The sequence below is a fragment of the Homo sapiens genome, chromosome 3 (assembly GCF_000001405.40).
Source record: "Homo sapiens chromosome 3, GRCh38.p14 Primary Assembly".
In the NCBI taxonomy this organism is placed as follows: domain Eukaryota; kingdom Metazoa; phylum Chordata; class Mammalia; order Primates; family Hominidae; genus Homo; species Homo sapiens.
In genome coordinates, this window is record NC_000003.12 from 6,914,368 (window position 1) to 6,940,042 (window position 25,675).

At 37.2% G+C, this 25,675-nt stretch overlaps 1 protein-coding gene across 7 annotated transcripts in view, besides 1 other annotated feature; it reads left to right on the plus strand.

The window, feature by feature from the left end:
* GRM7 (glutamate metabotropic receptor 7) overlaps positions 1-25,675 on the plus strand; it is an 880,419-nt gene that overhangs the window by 53,253 nt on the left and 801,491 nt on the right. The gene's annotated exons all lie outside the window — the stretch shown is intronic.
* Positions 6,062-6,263: a silencer, noted in NCBI's record as "fragment chr3:6962116-6962317 (GRCh37/hg19 assembly coordinates)". NCBI's record gives its function as "represses an EF-1alpha promoter that drives an FKBP-Casp9 reporter gene in an ReSE screen in HepG2 liver carcinoma cells {active_cell/tissue: HepG2}" and the evidence as "EXISTENCE:reporter gene assay evidence [ECO:0000049][PMID:32094911]".

The window sequence follows — 25,675 nt, forward strand, 5'->3', positions numbered from 1 at the left end:
GTTTTAGCTATTTTCACAATAGCTTTCATGATAGCTATTTAGGTGTTTTTTTTTGAGACCGAGTCTTGCTTTGTCTCCCAGGCTGGAGTGAATGGCACTGTCTTGGCTCACTGCAACCTCTGCCTCCCGGGTTCAAGTGATTCTCCTGCCTCAGCCTCCTGAGTAGCTGGGATTACAGGAATGCACCAGCACGCCTGGCTAATTTTTGTATTTTTAGTAGAGATGGGGTTTCACCATGTTGGTCAGGCTGGTCTCAAACTCCAGACCTCATGATCCACCTGCCTCGGCCTCCCAAAGTACTGAGATTACAGGTGTGAGCCACCGTGCCCGGCCCTATTTTCACATTTTGATATGTCTATGATACCAGTCTCTTGAAGACATAAAGTATTTATTAACAATTTTTTTCAGTTTTCTAGTATTTTGCCATGTTTTTCATTTAGTGGATGTTCAATAAAGTTGACTTCAAAATTTTAGAGAGCAAAGAAAATTTCCCTCAATCCTCCCCATCTCTATTCAAGACCAGTGTGGCCCCTATCGTTCTTTGCACAACATTATTTGGTTATAACAGCTAGGCCGATATTTTTGACAGGAACTCAAGAGGACAAAAAGAAAATTCTGCATGTATTGAGACTGAAGCTGATGTATGCATTTGCTTCAAGACTTATTCCTTATTGCTCCAGGACTAAATATTCCTTACTTAGGACTTACTGCTCCAGGTCCTTATTGCTCCAGGACTGCATGGTCCTTATTCAGCATTATAAATGTATTCTTAAACATATGTAATAAAGAGTCACGCTTTTATGATTTTGTGATGAATCTTATATAAAATAGTCATCCATATTTACAAATACTTTTCAGAGTGCAATTCTTTTGAAAGTTTTATTTTTACCCCTCTGTATACAACAATCATTTCACAATTAAAAAGAGCCAAAATAACAGTTTTTGGTGGTTGTCGTTGCTGTTGTGCTCTGCTATGTTTTTGTTTTATCCCATGTTGTACCTTGGAGATGATGGGCTTTTAAAATCTCATGTATAAATATTGAGTTTTTACGGTCACTTGGATGGCAGATATAAATAAATGTGAATCCTTACAATATTTCTAAATTCTTGATTTTAAAATGGGAAGCACATTCTCAACGTTCATCTTTTCATACTGTCATCAAATTTCTTACTTTAACAAAAATCGCTTGGTTCTATGCATACCAATGAACCTGCATGTTACATTTTCAAGCTCATGCTAATATGTTCTTTGCAAAATACAGAAACTTTCTTTCTATGTATTCATTGACTTTCACTATTCATCAAGGTGGTATAAATGCTTAGGTGATGCTGACCAAAAGGCATCTAAATTCATGGAAATGAATGTGAAAATGGGACAACAGAATTCAGTATCACAACTAATGGGCTTGATACTCTATTTTACCTTTCACCCAAACATAATAACAGTAAATTTTTTTTAACCAAAGACTGAGTTCTATGTGTAGTTCCAAGAAGAAATATTATGCTTAATCCATCTTTTCTTTCCTAGCCCATGAGCTTCAGCCTATGTGGATAATGGCAAAGTCAGAGTTTGATTGTTTTCTGTCTGTTCTAATCAGTGGTATAGACAACAAATAAGAACTCAGTTTGGGAAGAATTCTGGGAGTAGACTCAGAGTAAACTTTCAACAAGGCACTATCTTTGTTGATGTTGCAGCCAACCAAAATCATTGATCTGGTTACATATTTATTTGTTCTTACAAAGTCCTGTTTTTGTGCATTCAGCAAATTTCCTGAAGGCTACTGTGTGTCAGACACTAAAGATACAATAATGGGCAAAACAGACAGAGCTCATGTAGTCATGAATCTTCTGTTTTGGAAAGCTTGATGGTACTAAAGGTACCCACAGGAAGGACCGATTCAGACATTAATGAAACAGTCACACAAATGTAAAATATAAAATAAATATGTGATGCCATAAAAGCAAGTGAAAGGAGAACCAACATTATCAGGAGTTCCAAGAAAGACTTTTCTAAGTGCTATTTGAACTGAGACCAGAGGAATGCATTAAGCAAGTAGTGGCAGTATAGGGGGAGTCACTGAAATGAGCAATAAAGGGATACCTTTGACTAAGTAATTTATAAACAACAGAAATTCATTTCTTAGAGTTCTAGAGGCTGGGAAGTCCACAATCAAGGTGCCAGCAGATTCAGTGTCTGGTGAGGGCTCTCGGCATCTTGGGCACCTTCTATGTGTCCTCACATGGTGGAAGGGGGGAACAAGCTGCCTCAGTCCTCTTATAAGGACACTAATCCCATTCATGAGAACTCTGCCCTGATTATCTAATTACCTCCTAAAGACCCTACCTATTGGACTGGTGATTCGATTTCGACATATAAATCTTGGGGAGACACAAGCATTCAGATCATAGCAGAGGTAAAACTTTATTAATTCATTTTTTTTTCATTCAGAACCTACTATGTGTCTATACTATTCTCAATCCTGATATGTAAGAAGAAAAAAATGTTTCTAAGAAACTGAAATGGTGGCTGGGTGGGGGCAGAAAATGTTGCAGGTTGAGATGGATTCAAAACAATCACTGTTAAGTAACCCTTAGGAGTTTTCAAAATTCAGATATAGATGTTTCCTTTTTATTGGGAGGAGGAGGTGCAGATACTGCCTAGCGATTCTATTCAGAAGAATCCCAGCCATGCCAGTCACTAGTTGTGTGACCTCAGGCAAGTTACTTAAAGTCTTTGTACCTCAGTTTTCTCAACTGTCCATTGATAATGTTGATAATACCTTCATTATAGATTTGGGTGAGAATTTGGTAAGAGGTTAGGACTATACCCAGCATTTAGCGTCTATATAAATATTATATATTGTAGTTATATGGTATTGTTGCTCAGTTTGCTAAATTAGATATAGATTGAGAAAAATAAATGTAATTAAATAATGGTGAATGTTGACTGTAGATTTACTTAAGTAAATTGTAAGTGATAAAACTTTTCATATAAGGTTAAATAAAATTTAGATGGGGAGACAAAAATGTTGGAAGAGGCAAAAATGATGATGCAAATTGATTGAAATATATGTATTATAAAATAGCACCTAGGAAAACTGGAAATCAATGAAGTTTTGTTAATTGCTTTTTTTTTTTTTTTTTTGGAAAGAGAAGATGGATGTTTGTAATAAACTTAAATGAAAGAGTTTTAAAAATGGTTCCCTGGGAATGCAGAGGCACAAACAAATGCTCATAATTTTGTGGCTTGGGCTAAAGCATTTCTCAAATGTCCTTGAAAGTTCCCAAAGACAATCTTTCCTCAGGAAAGTATTTCTCCTGTGAGTAAATAATGTTCTTGCCTAGAAATGAAATGTAGTAATATATTACATTGCAACTGAATTGATAGCAAGACTGGCAGATGAAGTTCAGAAAAAAATGTCACATTGGAAACTAGGATTTGAGGCTCATATCTATATTTTCATAACTCCTTAAGGGGCTCCCTCCATAGTAAATCAAAATAGTACAGAAAGAAGTTTTGACTATTCTTTACCTCTTCATTAAAGGGATCAATTTGGAATTATTATTGCACCAATACCATCCTGCCTTAAATTTTGTATGGTTTAGCTGCACAATTGATAAGCTAAGGTTTCTTTTCACCATATAAAAGGTCCTTTTTAAGCAGTCATATAACAACGACATTTAAAATATTTGCTTGCTTTTAATGAAAGCTTTGTACTTTCCAAAGTGCTTTCTAAATGCATCTCTGTGAGTCAGGTAAAACAAGTCCTGTCAACAGTATTTTACAGAAGAGGAAACAAAGGCTGTAAAGGAAAGCTTCTTGCTCAAGGTCATTCTGTGAGCTAGACAAGGACTTCATCACAGGAATGACTCAAAGTTCAGGAGGGAATACAGCAGGGAAAGCTTAAGCCTTCAGTTCATTTTTACACGAGAATTTTTGCCTATCGCCTTGTAGGACGACATAGGGAATAAACTGTATTAGGTACCCAGTTCCTCCTTCGTGTTACTTAAGAGTCTGGTGAGGTATTTAGGTTGGACGTATTCTGTTCTAATGAAGATAAATTTGACATCCTGATGGCTGATCCCATGTGCTTTAGAATTTGAATCCCAGCTCCATCACTTACTAGTTGTGTATCCTTGGAGAAAGTTTCTTAACCTCTTGATGCCTGTTTCCCCTTCCATTAAGTGTCAATTTTAATATTATCTTCTATGTTTATTCATTCATTCATCTAACAAATATTGGCTAAGAGCTCACTACATGTCAAGTACTCTGCCAAGAATAGTTAAGTTCCCTAGAGTGCCAGAAACACTTTTCAGTGGATAGCAGAAGTCAGTAGAGCTGAGAAGTAAGGTTGAAACTGACCTTAGGAGAAGATTAAAGGCTCAGATAATAGGAGAAATGACTCTCACACACTTCCAGGATGTAGGCCTGGAGGTATTCGGAGCCATGGTGCGTTGTGATTTTGGACATACTGCACTTCCAGTCCCGGTTTCCAAATCTAGAGAATGGATTGATTCAACATACCTCACAGAGTTAATTTGGTAGGGATTAAATGAGGGAACATATGGGATGTGACACAGGAAGCAGTGGATAAATTATTACATATGAGTATGTTTGTAAACAAAATCAATCTTTATGGCCCCGCTGCATAGCAAGTGATCACAGCACTCTAATTTTCTGGTTGAGCCTGACATTGACACATCAGGCAGATCTTACTTTTTGAATCAATGGAAAATTCTTGCCTCATTGGTCTAATGTCACTTAATTTTGGTTCTTTATGTATGGAGACATAAGTAAAGGAAATCTTAAAATAAATGTATTTTATTTTATTATTTTATTTTATTTTTTGAGACAGAGTCTCACTCTGTCACCCTGGCTGGAGTGCAGTGGTGCCATCTTGGCTCACTGCAACCTCCAACTCCTGGGTTCAAGCGATTCTTCTGCCCCAGCCGCCTAAGTAGCTGCGATTATAAGTGCCCACCACCATGCCTGGCTAATTTTTTTTTTTTTTTTTTTTTAATAGAGATGGGGTTTCCACCATGTTGGCCAGGCTGGTCTCAAACTCCTGACCTCAGGTGATCCACCCACCTTGGCCTCCCAAAGTGCTGGGATTACAGGAGTGAGCCACCGCACCTGGCCAGAAATATATTTTATATCTTATGCTTCAAAACGTAGAAAAACATTATTGTATTGTTCATCTTTTTTTTTTTTTTGGACACGCTGATCAGCTAGTTTTTTCCTCTGCAGCCAGGCAAAACAGAATCTGAAGAAAACACTTTAAAATTTTGATTTCAAATATAAGATCATGGGGTTCTTTCCCTACTCAACTTAGATTAATGGGAATCATCAACTTTAGGGTTTTAATATGGATAAAGATAACTATCGAAGATTCTAAATTATTTAATTTTTGATATTATATTTAACCATGGTAGGAAATTAGGATTTGACTAAAACATACTCCTTCCTTTTCCTGTACCTTAGCTTTTTCATACAGGAATGTGCCTGTTCCACTTTGAGATGCTCAACCAGGTGAGGTGCTAAAACTAGAGGTGAAGCTTAGTTTCTGCTTATTCATTCTATCTGAATGAGATGGCAATTATTAAGCAAATGTTTGCCATACAATTTTTATAAAGTTGAATATAACACAGTGGTTAAGACTTAGGGAGACAAAGCTATCTTGTATTCTTTTGCTCTGCCAATTGATTAATATATAATACATATAACCAGCAGAAGCTGTAAAGTATGATTTAAATGTAAGGCATAATTTTCTCATTTATTTCACCTTAAATGCATTTATACTCTTTATTATTTATAGAAGAGTTTTGAGATTGCTAAGCTTTAATTAGTGACATAGCAATAATAAATTTTTATCAATCCCTAAATTAACAAAAATGATGATTGATGGGCCAGGCACAGTGGCTCACACTTGTAATCCTAGCACTTTGGGAGGCCGAGGCGAGAGGATTACTTGAGGTCATGAGTTCAAGACCAGCCTGGCCAACATGGTGAAACCTCATCTCTACAAAAATACAAAAAATTAGCTGGGCATGGTGGCATGCACAAGTAATCCAAGCTGCTCAGGAGGCCGAGGCACAAGAATCGCTGGAACCTGGGAGGTGGAGGCTGCATGAGCTGAGAGATTGTGCCACTGCACTGCAGCCTGGGCAACAGAGTGAGACTCCATGTCAAAAAAAAAAAAAAATGATGATTGATGACTTTTCCCACAAATATTGGATAATACCTCTGCAGATCAAGTCAAATTAGTTAAGTGTCTATATTTTACTCTCATGAGTTGCCCAGTTAAATCCCCAGCCTGTTTTCATTCACTCTAATACCCATGATTTCCACTGCTTGGGGCTGGGTCTCCTTCTCCTTTTGGATGCCTGGGTTTGACTGAGTTGTACTTCACGAGCTGCTGATAGTTACCTGAGAAGGGCCTTCTATATGAGCTTCTTGTATTTCATATATTATTTCATTTTGCTTCACTGGACCCAGACATGCTCTTGGAATTGTATGTTTCCAAAAATATCACCAGCATGTCTCTAGCCAATAGGAAGATCATGATCTAAAGATACATCTTAGATTATCAGAACCTTAGAGAAATCTAAAGAGGCAAATAATTTTAAAATAGCAGCATTTGCTTCTGGAGACTGGCTGACACTCTTATGTGAACCAGTGTGAAAATGACTTCTGAAGGCATCCGTCACATTGGCTTCGAGAAGTCTGTTCCTTCAGCAAATGTATTAGTCCATGCTGCATCCCCACTTTGGCTTATCTGTGTGGTTTGGTTCTAGCTCCCAGCAGGAACAAAAGCTGCCGAGAGGCAACTTGTTTGGCTTGGGAGCATGCCCAATGTGAAAAGTTTGCAGGCAGAATCCGAAAGAGCAGCTGCAAGAGGAGAGATGGGGGTAGGTGACAGCTAATGATTCAGAAAGCAATTTCCATGAGAGCCTTCTGCTGAACAGGAGGCAGCAGTGCCCGGGAGATAGTTTACCATCTAATGCCGGGCTGGTTTCAATAAGCCAAGTCCTTTTTCTGTCAGTACCTGTGCCCCGAGGGAAAGCGCAGCCAACAGCTTCTATTTACCTGAAATAGTAGGACACACTAATTAGAATTTCAAAGAGCTTACATCTATTAAAACGTGTGGATCCATTTTATCCTAAGGCTCAGGATGCCCAGCCTCATATAAACTGATTTAACAACAAACGTTTAAGTACAAATCCAAAGCCATCTATCTAGTATTCCTTCACAACTTCTTGTGTACCAGGCTCTGCACTGTGTTGCTTTCCATACTGTGTCTTATTGAGTAATAGACCTCCGAAATGGGTGTTGAAGGTTCCTACCAAGGGATCTGTGTACAAGAAACCATAGCCAGGAAAGACCAAATTATTATTTGTTAAAAGTGAGCTTGGCCCTGTTATCTCATTTTGGAATTCAGAATGGCTTCTCTCTCTCTCCTCTCCCCCCAAATCACAGATGACTAGAACACAGGACAAGCCTAAGCTAATATGATTTACTCAGAATCACAGACCGAGATGCTGGGACTGACTGTGTAGCACACTTGCCACTTTCTAATACAGTAACTCCTCTCACTGCTCAATAGACGTCATGGTTGTTGGTCAATAAAGATCACAATTCTTCTTCCAGGAACAGGTTGGAGGGCCGTGGGGTTAGGTTTTCAATTCCCTCGCAAACATTTGACGACTAAGCATGTTCCGAGCACGCCTCTTTCTGACATGCTTGATTCCTTTTTTTATAGATGTGCAACTGAAGCAGAAGCTAAGCGACATCCTCAGATCACATAGCCCATGCTTTTAACCTATCATACTACTTAAACTTCCTCACCTGCCAGTTTACTTTTTCTCTTGAAGTCTGAGAAACTGAACACAGTTCCAGATAGAAATGAACAACCAGGAAGACGCTTGAAATGCTCTTATTTTTCCATTACCGAAGATAGTCACTTTTTTTAAGTGAAGTCTTCTAGCTTTTTCGTGGTCATAAGTAACTAATGATATGCTTCAATTGATTAAAATGGCCTAGCATTCTCCAACTGTAATACTTCATAGAAAGTTGGCTGTTATATTTCCCTAAGTCCTATGCATGTTTCTAGAGATTAGATGCTGTCAAATAGCTTTCTTGAAATAAATACAAGATTCTGGTTTTTAAATTTATCACTTCTTTTACTCTTGCAGTGGCTTTTTTTGAATTGTTGGACATGATAGATATGGGAAATACTTCATTAGATCACAAATTTTAGAACCTATAACATACATATAGAACAGAACTTTAAACAGAGATTAGAGGAAGCTAAGTTACTAGAAAATGTAGTATAAATCATTATTGAAATAGAGCTTAACACATTATAATTCATCTGAAAAGAAGCTCAGATTATGATTGTCAGTTATTTAATGTTCTGTTCAAAGATAATGAAAACACTGTTAAAGGTATGGTATTTTGACTGCCATTGGAATGGTCTGATTTCAAACAGCAATGCATTAGTTGTGCTTAAATGGATAAAGAATGTTGAATAAGTGAAGAGAAAATAGGAGAACTGCATTCTAATCTTATCTTGGCCACTGACAGGAATAAAGTTGACTTTTAGGCTATCAAACAAACATTTTCTTTTCTTTTCTTGTTTTATTTTCTTTATCTTTTTCTTTTTTTTGCAACGGAGTCTTGCTCTGTTGCCCAGCTGGAGTACACTTGCGGAATCTCGGCTCATTGCAACCTCTGCCCCCAGGACTCAAGCGATTCTCCCACCTCAGCTTCCCGAGTAGCTGGGACTACTGGTGTGTGTCATCATGCCTGGCTAATTTTTGTATTTTTAGTAGAGATGGGGTTTCACTATGTTGGCCAGGCTGGTCTCGGACTTCTGACCTCAGATGATCCACCTGCCTCGGTCTCCCAAACTGCTGGGATTACAGGCGTGAGCTACCACGCCCAGCCCACACGAACATGAAAAAAAAAAGCTAACTCAGTTTTCTCACCTGTAACATGAAGAAGTGGCCATTTAAAAAATAATAGTTGATTATCTTTAGTTCTGTAATTTTAGAAGCATCTTGATTTGATTTATGCATAAACTCTCACAAGAAAAAAATGTCCTTTTATTTCTAAAATGTCTGTAACATTGGATTAACATAGCAAATGAAATCTTTTGAGGATTGTTCAAAGGGTCACCAATTTAGAATTCATCTCCTCTGTTGGTTTTTATTTTTTGTTTTAACTTTTACTATATCTATGATAGGGTTTTTTTCCCCCTGCACTGGGACTGACAGATGGAATGGTTAAAGAAACACATCAACACTTATTTTAGATACTTTGTTATCAGACCCATTCTGTGAACTTTGCTCTATCCATGAATTATTTATTTCATTTGATGTGTTTTTCCCTGGATTCATAAAATTTCATTTTGTCATGATGTTTCTTCCCGTTTATGGGACTATAAATGCAGCTGACTAAACCTCTTTAATGGCTGAACACATATCATGTCTTTGAGTGAAGGATGTGATTTCTCTTTCTGTTCACAGACATGTTCACATTTTCATTTATTTGCTTTTCTTCTGTTCACTCATGACAATAGTGTCAGTGGAGAAATAAAATGATGACATCTGATACTTATTTAAGTTGGAGTCAGAAGACTTGAGCTTTCTCTAACTTTTTAGATTTGCTAGCTTTATAGCAATGTGTACCTCACTTGTTTTCTCTGAATCTCAGTTCCTCTTCTATAAAATGTGAATAATTATGCCTATAACACAATGTAGTTAGAATGGTAAACAGAAAAGAAATTCTTCCCATCTGCTCTCGTGTTGGAGAAAAATAATTGAACTGACTTTCATCAGATTTGGAAGTTTGCAATGGTCCGTTTGAAAATATTAGCTAAATGGGATACTGTGAAGACCCTCTGAAGGCACTTCAAAGAGATAGACAAATATCTCCAAGATCATCAAAATCAAAGATAAAATGAGAAGCATTTTGACCTTTCATCAGGAGACAGATGATGTATAATTTCAGTAGTTCTTAACTTTGGCTATAGATGGAGAATCTCTTGGGGAACTTTAAAAAATCTTAAAGCCCAGACAGTTACTTACACCAATTAAATATGAATTTCTGGGGCTAGAGAGTTGCACCAAGACATTGGTATATTTTAAGACTCACAGGATGGTTCCTATATGCAGTGAAGATTGAGAACTCTACATATGTTAAGATATTGTGGCTAAGTATCACAAAAGTGGATGTTGTCACAGGGTAGTTCTGCTTCTTACATGGGCAACTCCATGCCAATGAGTAGCAACATGAATTCTTTAAAAATTTTACATAGAAGCCAGTTTTATAGATATATATAAACACTGTAAGAGGCTACCAGACATTAATTAAAGAAACTCAGAGTATGTTAGCATTAAAAGCATATCTCCAACACAATGTCAGTAGAAGGGATGGAAGGGATTCTGGGGCTGTGATATGGATGCCTCCATACCTGGATCATTGAGAGAGAGACAGGAAATATCTCCAAATCACTGAAATTTTCAGAAAAGCCTGTGATTCTTTTGGGAGTCATGATATTAGGGCTCATGACCCTTGACTCTTGTTTCATAATATAGGGACCCACAGTTACATACGAAGTCTATACCTGAGGCTTCTTATATGGTAGAAGTGGAAAGGACAAATATTTTTTACTGAAGAAAGAAAAAGAGATATGAGTGGGGAGAATGGAGTAAAGAAAGAGAAAAGCAAAAGTAATCCATCTAGAGAAGACTTACTTTTGGGCAATCCCTCATCGTATAATCATGTGTATTTCTTCCTTCCATTTCATGCTTTACTCTATATAGGCATTTAATAGTTTGTCTTCCACATATTTTAAGTTCCATTAAGGAGATTGATGTCTGCTGGCATTTTGTTTTCTGGATTCCAGGCACTTAGCAAAGTCCCTCAATAAGCATTTGTTGAATGAATGCATGAATTAATGAATGAATGAATCAATCAATTTAACTTCAAACTCAGCACCCTTCTCAAAAGAGTTACCTGCTTTATACCATACTTGAGAAGGTTACGTTGTTTTATCATTAGGCCAAAATCGAATCAATCAATCAATTTAACTTCAAACTCAGCACCCTCCTCAGATGAGTTACCTGCTTTATACCATACTTAAGAAGGTTATGTTGTCATATCATTAGGTCTAAAAGAGAAACCAGGATCTTGATTTTAGAACTTGAGGTCATCTCTTCTATCATCTCATACAATGTAGGAATTCACTCTATAAACCAGGTAGTGGTCATCTAGTCTCATTTTGAGAGCTCTTGTGATCTGAATGCTCTAGTTGATGATTTAACTCATCCTGTATATAAATAGCTATAGCTGCTATGAAGTCCTTCCTTATATCTGCCTCCCTGAAGCATCTTACCCATTGATCCTACCTTGTCCTGGTGGAACTGGAATGAAAAATATTCCAGTCTCACATACATACATTGGCACTTCAGATATTTGTAGCCCATCATCACATCCCTAAAGTCTTCTCTTCGGGTCAAATATTGTAGTGTTTTTCCTATAAATCATGTGAGAGTATGTCTAGGCTCCTCACCATTTTGTTTATCCCTGTTTTCACTCGCTTTTGTTTTCTAAAGTTACTTCCCCCAAATTGTGCTCAGACTGGGATTTCGTGCTTCAAATGTGGTCCATCTGAGAAAGAGGGACCCCCCAAAACCTCCCACACACATGCACGTACACCCAAGGAAAACTATATTTCTATTAAATGTAATTCTTATGTCATAAAATCTATATATGTTTATTTAAAAAATAAAAACAATATAGAATAGCATAAAGAAAAACACAAAAATCCTTCAGAATAGCTCATTAGCTAAAGACAAGCCCTTTCAGATTCTTTCATATCCATTGATCTATCTGCTTTTTTCTACATATATCATTTGTGCATTCATTTGTGTCAACATCACATAAACACACATGCAAACATATGTACATAATTTTACCTAAATAGAAATATAGTGTTTTAATCTTATGTTTTAAGACTGATTATAAGTACTGAGCATTATTACCTGACAATAATTTTAGTTCCACATTAAAGTTTGCAAAACTCCTGAATGTTAGCTAAAATGCAGCCCACAGATACTTTCTTTCTACCCTCCAAGACCTGCACAACGTTTTAAAAGCCAGGACATTTTGCAGCTTCTCCTGCGAAGAGGATAATCTGGTGATATTGAGTCTGTAGTCTTACAAGGATGTGATGGAAACTGAAAGGCAGGTGTCTCCTCTACAATGAGCAGGTGCTCCCCAAACAGCTTAGCCATTAGCTTGGCCTGTTTCTTGCAAAAAGCCGATGCAACCACCCCTCGGGTTGAGTTAGTGTCCCCTGAACATCACCATTTTAATAACTGTAGAACTATATGCAAGGGATAAACCAGGATTGATTTCATAAATCTCCTTTTGATAGGCCTTAATGTTGGTTCCATATTTTCCGTTTTGTGAATAGAGTTGCGGCAAACATCTTTGTACAACATATTTACCCAGATACCTGATAATTTATTATAATGAAATTCTACACTGGATGTAAATCATTGAGCCAAAATAGACTTTTAGAACTACTTTTCTTCTTTTTATCATAGTCAGGTCCATGGAAGCAGCCCGCATCTTTCACTCGCACTGTGTTAAGCAAAATTTGACCACTGTATATGTAGACATAGGTAAAACATAGAATTGTTCAAACTTCATGTTATACAATTTAAATATGTGCCATAAAATAAGTAAGTAGAATTGTTAGAAAAATGAAGCTGGGCATGGTGGCTCATTCCTGTAATCCCAGCACTTTGGGAGGCTGAGGTAGACGGATCACTTGAGGCCAGGAGTTTGAGACCGGCCTGGCCAACATGGTGAAACCTTGTCTTTACTAAAAACACAAAAATTAGCCAGGCATGGTGGTGCATGCTTGTAATCCCAGCTATTCGGGAGGCTGAGGCAGGAGAAGTGCTTAAACTCAGGAGGCAGAAGTTGCAGTGAGCCGAGATCATGCCACTGCACTCCAGCCTGGGTGACAGAGCTAGACTCTTGTCAGAAAAGAAAGAAGAAAGAGAAGAAAGAAAGAGAGAGAGAAAGAAAGAAAGAAAGAAAGAAAGAAAGAAAGAAAGAAAGAAAGAAAGAAAGAAGAGAAAAGAAAGAAAGAAATCTAGTAGTTAAATTAGGAAAATTATTAAATACAGAAAAATTTAGAAAAAAATATACTTTAGAGAGAATAAATATCATCATTGCTATTTTTTCCACTATTACATGCATTTATGTTCATATGCATATGTAAATCTACTCATTTTATACACAGTTTAATAATGTTAAGATATGCTGTTTATGTCATTTTTATCTATATTACATTTTCAATTAACATCATAACATGGCCATTTCCCATATGATCTAGTGTTCTTCATTTAGATAATTTGTAAGTTGCTGAATATTCCAATATATGGGGTCACTTATTTAAATAATCTCCTATTATTCGGCACTTAAGTTGTTCCCAAGTTTTTCGTTTTACAAACAATGTTCCAGTTAGTGCCATTGTACATAGATTTCTGTTACTTCTTCTGGTTTCACACTTAGAACACATTTCTAAATATGTAATCACTAGGTCGCAAATCCACTTGTAACTCACATAGGCAATTTTTCAGAAATCTAAATCTAGACCTTCACATTTGAAATTATTTCAGTTATATCCCTTTTATCTGTTTTGCTCCTTTTTTTTTTTTCTACACTGCTGAGGTAGGTATTTTAACACATCCCTCATTGATCCTGTTGCCTCTTCCAAGCACGTTGCTTGGTTTGCATTAACTGGGCATTTTCCCAAAATGTCCCTTGGAATTCCCCCAAAGATAGTTGCTCAATACCACTCTCTTTCCCAGGTACTAAAAAATGCAGTTGTAATGACTTGTTAACTTGTAGATATGATTAAGCCCCACAGTTTTCCCATGAAAGTTTACTATTTGGCACTGGTCCTGCAGGAAGGTGGCAATGTTACTCACACAGTGAATTTGCATTGATATTCGATATAGGCATCATGGCATATGAGGAAGCAAAATCTGAGAAAGGATTTAAATGTGAAAGTCATTATGCAAATGATAAATATTATTTATTATTAAGTATAATTAATAGTTGCCAAGCAGATGTTTTTCCTAACCAAGTGCCATATACCTTTTAAAATAAATGTTTGTAATTAATAACATTTAGATAGGGGGAAAATAAGTTTTTCTCAACTTTTTCATTATAGCCCAGATTTTGCCAGGCAAACAACTTGATAGAATCAATAGAAGCTTAGTTAAGCAGGTGATAATCTTCTCTTGGCCTCCAATTTATCACTAAATGGCTTTTCCATGGATTGCAATCATTGAAAGGTTGTAATTGTAGCCTTCTGCTATATTTACTGTTAGAAAATGTTCTTTTAAATTGAGCACGCTGTGGGTTTGTGAACACTTGTTTGTCATTCATGATGATTAGGTTCCCCCATATTTGAACTGGTACATAAAATGCCAGTCATAGTGTTTTAAAGTGATTTTTCCCTCGGCAGTTTTGATTAGATGCCTTGGGTCAGTGCTTAGTTAATATCTTGCACCACTTGGCTTCTGTAAGCAAATGAGAGAGCTGAACATTCCACCCACGACCTGCTTGGAAAGCTGATAAATAATTGGAAAAGGACAGTAATATCTGTAAGACTTTCAATCTGTTCCATTCAGTGTGATATTGGTATTATAACACAAGCCAAGTTGTCAGTAAAAAATCACAGTCAAAGCATTCTGAGTAGTTGACGGAGGTGTGAGAAAGGAGTATTTCAGTTTTATAAAGATGGTTCCTCTAGCTGGCAAGAGGGCGCATATTCATTTTTTAATAACACACAGAGCATCCACCCCTGCTCCTTGTCCCCATGACTATTCTGTTTAGACCTCCATGCCTTCCCAACTGCCTCTCCCCTCTTAGCAGCTGCTCATTTCAGGACTTGCTTTGGAATATCTACTGGAGACAGCACTGAGGTGCCCAAAATTAACTCAGAATCCAGAAACTAGTGAAAGGTATGGGAACTAAAATTGAATAGTTATAAGGTGGTACCGTGTTCATGAAGATGATACAGTAGCAGACTGCCTGCTGTATATCACACAGTAGGTATGCTGTCTTTTTACTTTATTTTTTTTTCCCAGGGACAAGAGAATAGAATTATGTCTATCTGTTCATGCTTGGGATTACCAGTGCATATTGTCTACAATTGTAAGATAAAACTAGAGGACAGGTATTGATGCAGTCTTTGACTGTCAATAAGATGCATATAACAGATAAAATGGGGCCTACACCCAGCCCTGTTTACAATGACAGACTTGTTAAAATGAGCATCTATCAGAACATTAAAAATTGATTACAATCCTAAGTGGCCTGGAGGTGTGTAGGGAAGGTGAAAGATGCTGACGGCACACACTGTCCAGGTGCTGTCAGAATGTTTTAGGGGCTGATAGAGAGTATATGCCCTGCCATGGATCTTTTCCACATCAGATGGGAACAACGCTTCTCCTCCGGAGATCAATACCTCATACAAATTTTTACAAGGCAGACCCCACAAACGTGGTGTCTGGAGTAATCATTTGATTTTCCCCAACCCATATGTGGCTGTGGAATGAAATAAAGCTAATGTTCAGGCAAACAAAGGGTATTGAAAATGATACATGTTCTGGAGTGAGACAGACTGTGTGGCAATCCCAACCCTACTGTTGACTTAGTTCAGTAAATTGAACAAGTTCTTTATATTCTCTGAACTGCAGTTGCCTTGTCTGTAGGTGGAAATAGGGTCAGTCCTTGCTGGGTTAATGTAGTATTAGAGATAATATATGTGAAAAGCCAAGCATAGTACTGATATTAAAAAGACAGTAAAAGCGGTAGCTGTTTCTATAATTCAGGAAAAATGTTATATCTGACATAGACCATCCTAAAGTGAAACAATGTTCGATAAAACTTACTGGAAGAACATAGAGTAGGCAAGAGGTCAAACGATTGCGTGTCTATATCCTATGATTATAACACATCAAATTATATCCAAATAGGTTCTCAATATGTAGTGTAGGCAACACATTTCCAATTAATTATAAGAACTAAGCCTTTATAATTTTTTGGTGTCTTAGTGTTTGATTTTTTTAATCTTAATAATGTATTAGAGTGCCTCTGAGTTTAGCTCTTACTAAATTATAAAGGCACTCATTTTAGACCTAAATATATGGTTCACCCAATGCAGGTGGGGAAAAAAACAAACATTTTTGGCAGACTGACTCTGGCTTGCTGGGGCTCTGTTCTCAGTTCACAGACCAAGGAGTATCGTCAGCCAGACTGATAGGTTGATCATTTCTAAGTGTACTTGGTTTAGATCAAGATGTCAATTTCCAGCAGCAATAGGCACTTGCAGATAGTCTCATTTTCTTGAGCATAAGAATGCGTCTTTTCCTATATTTTTGAGAATATACTAGCTGCTGGCCCATGTAAAAACTATGAAGTTATTAAAGGACACTCAATGCTTCCCACCTGGTCATTTTTCTCACCTTCAGGAGTAGCCTCAAATGTGAACTGCCTCCAGTTACTGGGATGCCCCATCCTTTCCCACTGTCATTACCTCCACACTCATAATCGCTTCTATCAATTCTAGCACCTAAAGGAGCCAGGCTTTGTATCCATTTATATTGTTCACTTTATATTAGCTGAAATTGCACTAGCTCTTGCCCCTGTCAAATGGATATCAATCTTTCATTCATTAGTTAAAAATATGAACCACTTAAATCAGGAAGTGCAAGACAGTATCATCTTGAGGGCCTTTTTTGAATGATTAGTGGTGGCTGCCCAGAAACACTCATAAGAGAAGAGTTCAGAACATGTCAAGGCTTTGTCTAGCCATAGTGGAGAATGCCGTGACTTACTAGCAATGTCTGCCCTTGGTAAAAGAGAAAATAATAGAAATAGGAAGAGTGACATAGAGGACTGAAAGGATGGCCACTCTCAGGCTTCTCATCCTTGCTCTTAGTGCCCTTCTTGGAGACTGGGATCATGTTCCCACCTTCCATTACGTGGCTGTAGAGTCCATTTCCAAACTATTCATTTGTTCCTTCAATTTCCCATTAATTCCTGCCCATCCTCCTGACTCAGAAACTTCATGCATTCTGTTCCCTCAGACTGGATGCTTTGCTGAGGATCCCTTCTCCAAAGTGCCCCCTGCAAGAAGGCTCTACCTTATTTACTCTAAGAAACGACACCAGTTTGTTGTATGTTGTAGCACTCCCCTCTTTTGTGCCATAGAAATTATATAAATTTGTAATTATTCCTTGATATGTTTATTTGTGTATTTATTACCCCCTGCACCAAATGCTAAACTCAGTGAGCTCAAGAACCGTGTCTCTCTTTTTGGCTATTCCCTCATACTCAGCACAGATGCCTGGAAGGCAGTAGGCATTTGAAACGCTGGAATGCATTCAAGTTTGGGGATTCCAACTTAATCAAATAAGGTTCCTGACTTCCTACATCTCATATTCTAGTGAAGAAGAAAGTCGATTAAGTAAATTATTATGATGCAATGAGACAAAAGCAATACAGGCATAAGGGAATATTGCTGCGTGGGTAGGGTGACAGGTGTAGAGATAGCATCACAGATGTAATGGTAAGGTTGGGTTTTGAAGAGTAAGACTTAAAAATAAACCTCAATAAAATTTCTGTGTAAGAAAAGTTAAACACTGCAACAACTGCTCTCTATTTGAATGTTATGTTCTACCATTGAAGTTTTATTTGTGAATCGAATGACTAGATATTTTAACATGTACCTATAGTAGCATCCTAAATGCATTTTAAAAGAAATATAAAGGATACTTTGCCTACCGAGGGCCCACAATTAGGCTTTTCCTTTAAGGATATTCTTAGTCTTAACCCTTTATCCTGCTTTGTACTTGATATATCCCCATTTATTCTGATCGAGTAGCCCAGATGGAAGCTTTTTGTCCATTTGCAAAGGTCAGTGGGGGTTATGTGAGCATGAGTCTGCTGAAATTTTAAGCAAAAAATGGCCCAAGCATTTCTTATAGTTTGGGGACATGTAGTTATAGTGAAATAATTTAGATAAATGAAACTGGACTTGTCTTTTAGATTTAAAAACATAATTTGGGGATAATAAAGGAAACATCATTACTAGTCTAGCAAGGGATATTTAAAATAAAAGGTGGTTTTATGTACGCTGCTAACTTTCTTACAGCTTCAATGATAAATTATTAGATATTATGTTCATCATATCGGGAGGTCACATATAACTTTCCAGTTGAAGTTTTTTAGAAATTGGCTGGAATTTTTTGTTTTGTTTATTTTTTTAATGTTTTCTTCTTTCTCTCTTTTTTTTTTTTTTTTTTTTTGAGACAGAGTCTCGCCCTGTCAGCCAGGCTGGAGTGCAATGGCGCGATCTCGGCTCACTGCAATCTTCGACTCCTGGGTTCATTTGATTCTCCTGCCTCAGCCTCCTGAGTAGCTGGGATCACAGGCACCTACCACCATGCCCGGCTAATTTTTGTATTTCTAATAGAGTCGGAGTTTCACCATGTTGGCCAAGCTGGTCTCAGACTCCTGACCTCAGGTGATCCACCTGCCTTGGCCTCCCAAAGTGCTGGGATTGCAGGCATGAGCCACCGTGCCTAGCCTTTAATGTTTTTATAAGTTAGAAAGGAAGAGAGGGAGGGATGAATGAAGAAAGAATAAAGCAAAACATTTCCTTAAATCACATTTAAAATAAGGTGGAGTTTAATAAAATACAGGAAGGAAGGCTGAAAGACAATAGTTATTATAAGCCAAAAGCTTTTACAATTATATTATAGCACTTGAGAGAGAAGTAGTGCTTTTTGTTGGCCCCTATGATTTCCCCAAAACATGTTCATTCTCCTTGACTCAATCATGTTCAAAGGAGAGTTTCCTTGTTAGGTTGGTAAAACAGGATCATATCCAGGCTTAATTGGACTCTAAACTGATTGTAGTTCTGTATAAACCTACACATCATGTATACATAGAAGCAGAAACAGTATTTAAATCCAATAGATGCTGCTTACTTTAAGATGAAAGACATCTAATGAATTTTAAAGTGGAAAAATTTATGCAAAGTCAACTCCTATTGTATTTGAAATACGGGAGGACATTGATATAAAATGCAACTTGCAACTTGTTTAAGATAAAACTAAAATAGAAGCAAGGATAACTGCAAGCCATGACTTGCAAGATCAAATCAGAACTTTTAAGTCCTCTCCTTGAAAGAATAAAGATCAGTTATGTGCCTAATACTTGTTTTGTAATCAGGCCACATTTTACCAAATCTGGCGAGAAAAGAAAATTAAAAAAAAAAACAAAACAAAACATTGCCAGTTATTCTGAGTCAGGTACAAAACTGTGCCAGAGTGGTAATCAGGGCTTGATCCTACTATTCAGGAAAGAATAAACCAGAATAGTAACTTTCTTTCTTTTTTAGTTAGCCAATACAAATGGTAGGAAATATTGACTTATAAACTTTTGTTCAACTAAGTGATTCTCTAGAGAAGGAACCAACAGGATCAGGGTGGAAAGTTAAATGAGGACAAGGTTGGGCTAAGTGAGGGAAAGTAAGGAGCTTTCCGAGCTAAGACAGTTCCAATGTGTGACTGACAAACTCACTCATGAGTATGGGGAGGTTCATTTTTCACATCTGCCAGTATACACCATGGTCCATTCAATAAAACCAGGGTAGAATTGACCACTATGTCTAGATTAATTATAATCTATTATTCATCCATTCACTAGGGATTGAAGGCCTTGAAACTTTCAGTGTGGTATTTAGGTACTCAGAAAATCTCCCTTGAATGAATGGATGAGCCATAAGAAAATCTGTTTACTAGGAGACACACAGTGGTATTTTCTATTTATTTTTTTCATTCACCATTTCACAATTTTTAATATCGTTTCTGTACCAGGGCTGTACTGGGCACAGATACAATAGTAAGGTACCATGAAAACTGCCCCCCACCCTGCCCCATCTCTTCATTACATTAGGAAAGAATAATATTAGAAAACAAAACCAACTAGAGAGTATATCATTACAATTCGGAGTTAGTTTATCTTAAAGATTATGGTGCTCAAAGTTACCATGAAGACATTAGAATGAGTGTATATGAGTATTTGTATGTATCTATAGGAGGGTATAACTGCATATATTTTTGGAAGAGATTTGACAGACCATGCTAGTGGAGAACAGATATAGAGGAGAGAAGAGCAGGGGTGGAGATGACTCGGTTGTTGTGGTGCAGGTGAGACATGATCTAGTTTAAATGAGGACGGTGGCAGGGCAAGGTGAGATACTTTTCAGTTCAGAAACATATTTAGGATGAAAATATCAATAGAACTAGATGAAGTTTGGATTGGTAGGGGAATTTTGAGAAGGACTCCTAGATTTTTGCCTCACATGATGTTTACATTATGCCCTGAGAAAAAAAAGAATATTGGAAGATGACAGTCTTCCCCCAAACAGAATTATGTTGCGAAAACAATAATGGGCTAATCATCCCTCTTCAAGGTTCTCAGTGAACACTAACATTTTAGAAGTTCTGAGAAACTCAGTAACATTTAAATTTGTTCCCTTTTGGTTCATTGATCATTACCAAAACTTATTTCATCTTGCATCCCTTGCCCTCGGCACTAACCCTAGAACAAACATGAAAACACAGTTGATTTGGAAAACTAGAACATGATTCATGTTATGTCCTTAGTTAGAGGGAGCATTTCATGTAGTAGAATGAAAGAGAAATTGTTAGGAACAATTAAATGATTCCTTCTACTTGATTCCACAAAATCAGTAAGAGTTATTGATTATGCCTTAAATGTGTACTATCCACATTGTACTTATGTTCACTTTATGACTAATTAAATGTAAAACAACATTCACTGAATGAAAATTCAGTTTATTGTAAAGCTGCTAGGCTTTTTTTTTTTGAAAAGGAAGTCTATGTATTAACATTTACATCATAGAAATATGGCAAAGCTCAAAGAATAATGAAAAATTAACCTGAAATCTCCCACCCTAAGAGAAACATTGATAGTATTTTAATATATATTCTTTGTGACAGTTTCTGGTTTATTGCCCCTCAAGGTCTAAATTCACCCTTTTTACCTGCTCTGTGAAAACAGATCTGAGCCTTTTACATAGTATTTCCTTTGCCAGCTGGCATGATATTATGGTTTACCAACAGATGGCACTGGAGAGACATTGCAGAAGGAAAGGCTTTGATTTCTGTTTCTTATTTTTAAATTATTATTATTATTATTATTATTATTATTATTATTGAGACAGAGTCTCGCTCTGTCATCCAGGCTGGAGTGCAATGGTGAGATCTTGGCTCACTGCAACCTCCGCCTCCTGGGTTCAAGCAATTCTCCTGCCTCAGCCTCCCAAGTAGCTTGGATTACAGGTGTGTGCCAACACGCACGGCTAATTTTTGTATTTTTAGTAGAGACAGGGTTTCACCATGTTGGCCAGCCATGTTGACCAGGCTGGTCTCGAATTCCTGACCTCAGGTGATCTACCCACCTCGGACTCCCTGATTGCTGGGATTCCAGGTGTGAGCCACCACTCCCAGCCTTTGCTTTCTGTTTCTAATGTGCTTGCTTGGAAGTCTCCCAGAGGCCTCTCCAGTGTCCAGCTCACAAAGCTCGGTGACTTTCCCAGCACCCAGCTCTGCAACACCTGTGATTTCTCCAGCATTCAAGGTTCCTCCAGCACCCAGCTGTCTCAGCTCTGAGGTCTCTCCCTCGGTGTTCTGCTCTTGCAGTGCACACAACTCCCATAGCTGGCTTCAGCAGTAGAGGGCAGCCAGCAGCTTCTCACAGGTCCCATCAAGAGGTTCTGTAATAGAGTGTCTTTGGTAAGACACCTCCCCATAAACAGCTTTTCCTGGAAGCCTAGAGGGTGGTTTTCCAATAAGTTCCAAAGAGCCTATTTCTGGATCCCAGTTGTACCGGTGTGGCACCACAGAAACTTCTGTGTTATCCAATGAGCCACAGTCATGCTCTCTCCAACTAGGCCTGGATTTCTTCTTAGCCTGAGGGTAACTTGTTATTCCTCATATCTGCTACTCTTCTATTTTTTTGAGTTCTCTTTACTTATCACCATTCATTCTCTCATTACTCTAATTCCTGGATGTACTTAAAAATTCTTTTTTATTAAATTGTTTATGCTGGAGTTGTTATGTGATTTTTCTCTCCTGATTGGACCCAGGATGATAATTGATTAGTCTTCTAATCTTTGTGTGTGTTATTTTAATGTTTAAAAGAATCACAAGTCCCCTTTCCACGACATTCTATGAGTTTCTACATTATTATTTTAATGGCAGCCTAGTAATCCATGATAGTAGTAGATACTTCATCATTTGTTCCATCCCTTATTATTAGACATATAAAATGTTTTATTTTTATTATTAGACATATATACTGCTTTCAAATTGTGAACAATGCTCAGGTGTTCACCCTTGGACCTAAATCTTTGTTGACATCCATAATGATTTCCTTGCAATTAACTCTTAGTCATTTGGACATTTTAGTCAATGGCAAATGATGAACACACTTTGTAAAGTGCTTTATGTAATTCCAGGGGAATTTTGAACATATTATTTAGGGGTATAATGTAACATCAGATAGAAGTATAAGAAGAAAGAAAGTCACGGTATTTATTCTCTCCTGCCAAACTTTCATAGCAGGAATTCGAAAAGTCTCTCCTGTAACACAAGAACTGAAACAAGATTTGAGAATGAGCCATTAAATATCAATTATCATAAATCACTTCTTGCTGCTGCTTTGATTAAATGTTTTCCTTGTGTTTTACAATTGGGAATTCCACCTCATCAGAAGAATGGAAAATGGGAAAGGATGAAATGATTTCGTGTATCTTGGTTATTCTTAGAAGCAAGTGCTTTGAGAAAGAAAACAAATTGTTAACCTCAGCATCTTAAACAAATTGAGTTTGGCTGATTTCCTGTGCTTAGAGAAAAGATCCCCATAGCTTCATCTGGAAGGCCTCATCCACTGGCCCAGTTGTTGTTTTCTTGACATGAATGCATCTAGTATAAATAATCTTTAATATTGAGTTAAACATTTAAGGATGTTTCAGGTTAATTTGAACAAATGAAGGAATGATCCTGATTGGTAACCATTGAAAATTCTCTCCCACAGGGAAGGAACCAAACAGCCTCAGACACTCTTCCTGAAAGTGGTCATCTTAATTCAACATTTATGTCTGTGATTTGCTTACAGGGGTTTTCTGAATGAGCTTGTAGAAACACCAGTCTTTAGTCAGCCACTGGAAGATTTGCAAGAAATGCTGTGCTAATCTCAGAACAAGGAGGTGTAATTTCTATTATCTGTTATCACAATGTAATCATAAAAACAGGCACGTGGCAAGCTTGTTGTTGTGGTCATGATCATTATCATCAATAACACACTGCCACTTATTGAGCACTTACTATGTAGACTACATGCCTCTTGTCTATGATTTATTTAGTTAATCCTCACAAGTCTCTTAATAAGTAAATACTGATGACATCCTCATTTTACAGATAAAGATGCTGAGTGGGGAAAAGTTAAGAAATTGGCTATGATGACACAATTACCCATCTGTTCAGCCAGTGCACAAGTTAGGTTGTCTGACTCCAATGACAACAGCCTGAGCACCTTCATTCAACTCCTTTAGGCCTTCATTCCAATAGAGTCTCTAAGAAACAATGGATTATGGATTATTATCAAGTCAAATGATTAGATTGTTCCCCTTCATTCACCATTTTGAACTGAAATTGCTTGGATTTCTCAAATGTATTATAGTGCTATATGGTCTGGCATTGTTATTATCAACTTCTTTCCCATCATAAACACATTTGACAAATAAAATTCACTTGTATCATATTCTACCATGTGGCTTTCCAGAAGTATTACACAAAGTCAAAGTCTGTAGTTTTTGCATAGTGTCTTCCAGTCCAGCTGTAACTCCACTGCTCTGTCTCCCACTGATCCTAGAGTCTTCAGTTGAGGAGCTACAGTCCGGTAAAATTGAGAAAGATGTGCTGGCTTGACAAATATATCTTGAGCACCATTAACGTGCAAAAGTCTGGATCACTGCGGTAGGCTTAGAGGGGATTTAAAAATAATAAGACAGCTTAAGAGAGACAGGCATTGACACCATTGACAAAATCACTTCAATCTTAAGGCAGTGAAGAAAGGAGGGAGGTGAGGAGAGGGACGTGTTAGCAGGGCCCATTCTCACATTTCTTAATTGGAATTTTGCTTTTTAAAGGTGAGCCACTTCTGGGAAATTCTGGACCATGAAGGTTTTGTTCAGAGCTTAAAAAGCCTGACAAAAAAATGAAGGAGACTGGTTGTAATGGAGGTAGACAGGTAGAAAATCATGAAGTTGTGTCTTATCAACAAGGGAAGGTCAAGCTCACATCTGAACCCCAAAACTTGGGAAATCCATTGATATTCCTTCTTATTATAAAATGCCTGTTAAGGCACTTGCTGTTTATTTCTTAGTAGGCATTGTGGCAGAAAATCAAATTAATTCAGTGCATAAACTAACCCCTCTCGATCTCTTGCTTAAATGTATAAGCAGAATACCAACTGCTAGAGTTTTATATGTTTCATTTTGATTTTTTCTGCACAAGTTATACAGGATAGCAAAATCACAAGATGTTCAACAGAACTCAATAAATATTTAATGCAACCTTTTTTTAGATATGAGAAAACTCCAGCTCAGTTAAGAAAAGTTACTTGATCTATACATATAGAACCAAAAAAACAAATCTGTTAAGGCTTTAGGCTTTAGTTGTAATAAGAAATATCCAGTTGTACTCCCTCCCAGTTTTGTGAGTCATGTGGTAGTGATTCACATCATTATCAATCAATAAATCTGATTCTTCACATACAGAATACTTTGTCTTGACTTCATAGGATAACACCTCCTACCACCTCCAAACATGTGGGTGAGGGAAAAGATAATCAAAGATTTTAAGTAAATCTGGATTAAAAAAAAAAAACAGTTATTCACATTGTTATTTTGGGCACAGAGGAATAGTTGAATGCCACATTTAAATAGAAAGCATATATATTTCACATTTATAAATCTTTAGATTCTGTATGTGTCATGAAAAATGTAAGTTTTAGATAGTGAGATGTATGAAATTAATTTCAACTCTGTGTCAAAAAGCTCCACAGTAGGCAATTAATGCATAAAACACCAGGGATTGCTGCCCTAAAGCCTCCATTGCCAGATGAAATTACAGACCTCAAATCCCATCATTATCCTGGTATTTATTTTTTGTTTGTGTGGTCTAGGAAAGATATAATCTTAAATTGAATATTTACCTAATCAGCAGGCTAAGGATGTTTTCTGGTTTCTATCCCCTTCAAATCTAGAGCAAAGTTTCTGGCTGTGAGTGTTAACATGTTACCCATATTCTAGGCTACTACTGCTTACTGTTTTCATTTCATGATTTACAAAATGATAATATTCATATGCCACACTGGGGTGAACCAGAGGGGGTTTAAATGAAGTTTGGTGAAAATCTTATTATACCTTTTAAAATTAAACAACTATAATAAGAATACAATATAGGGTATTTGGAAATATAT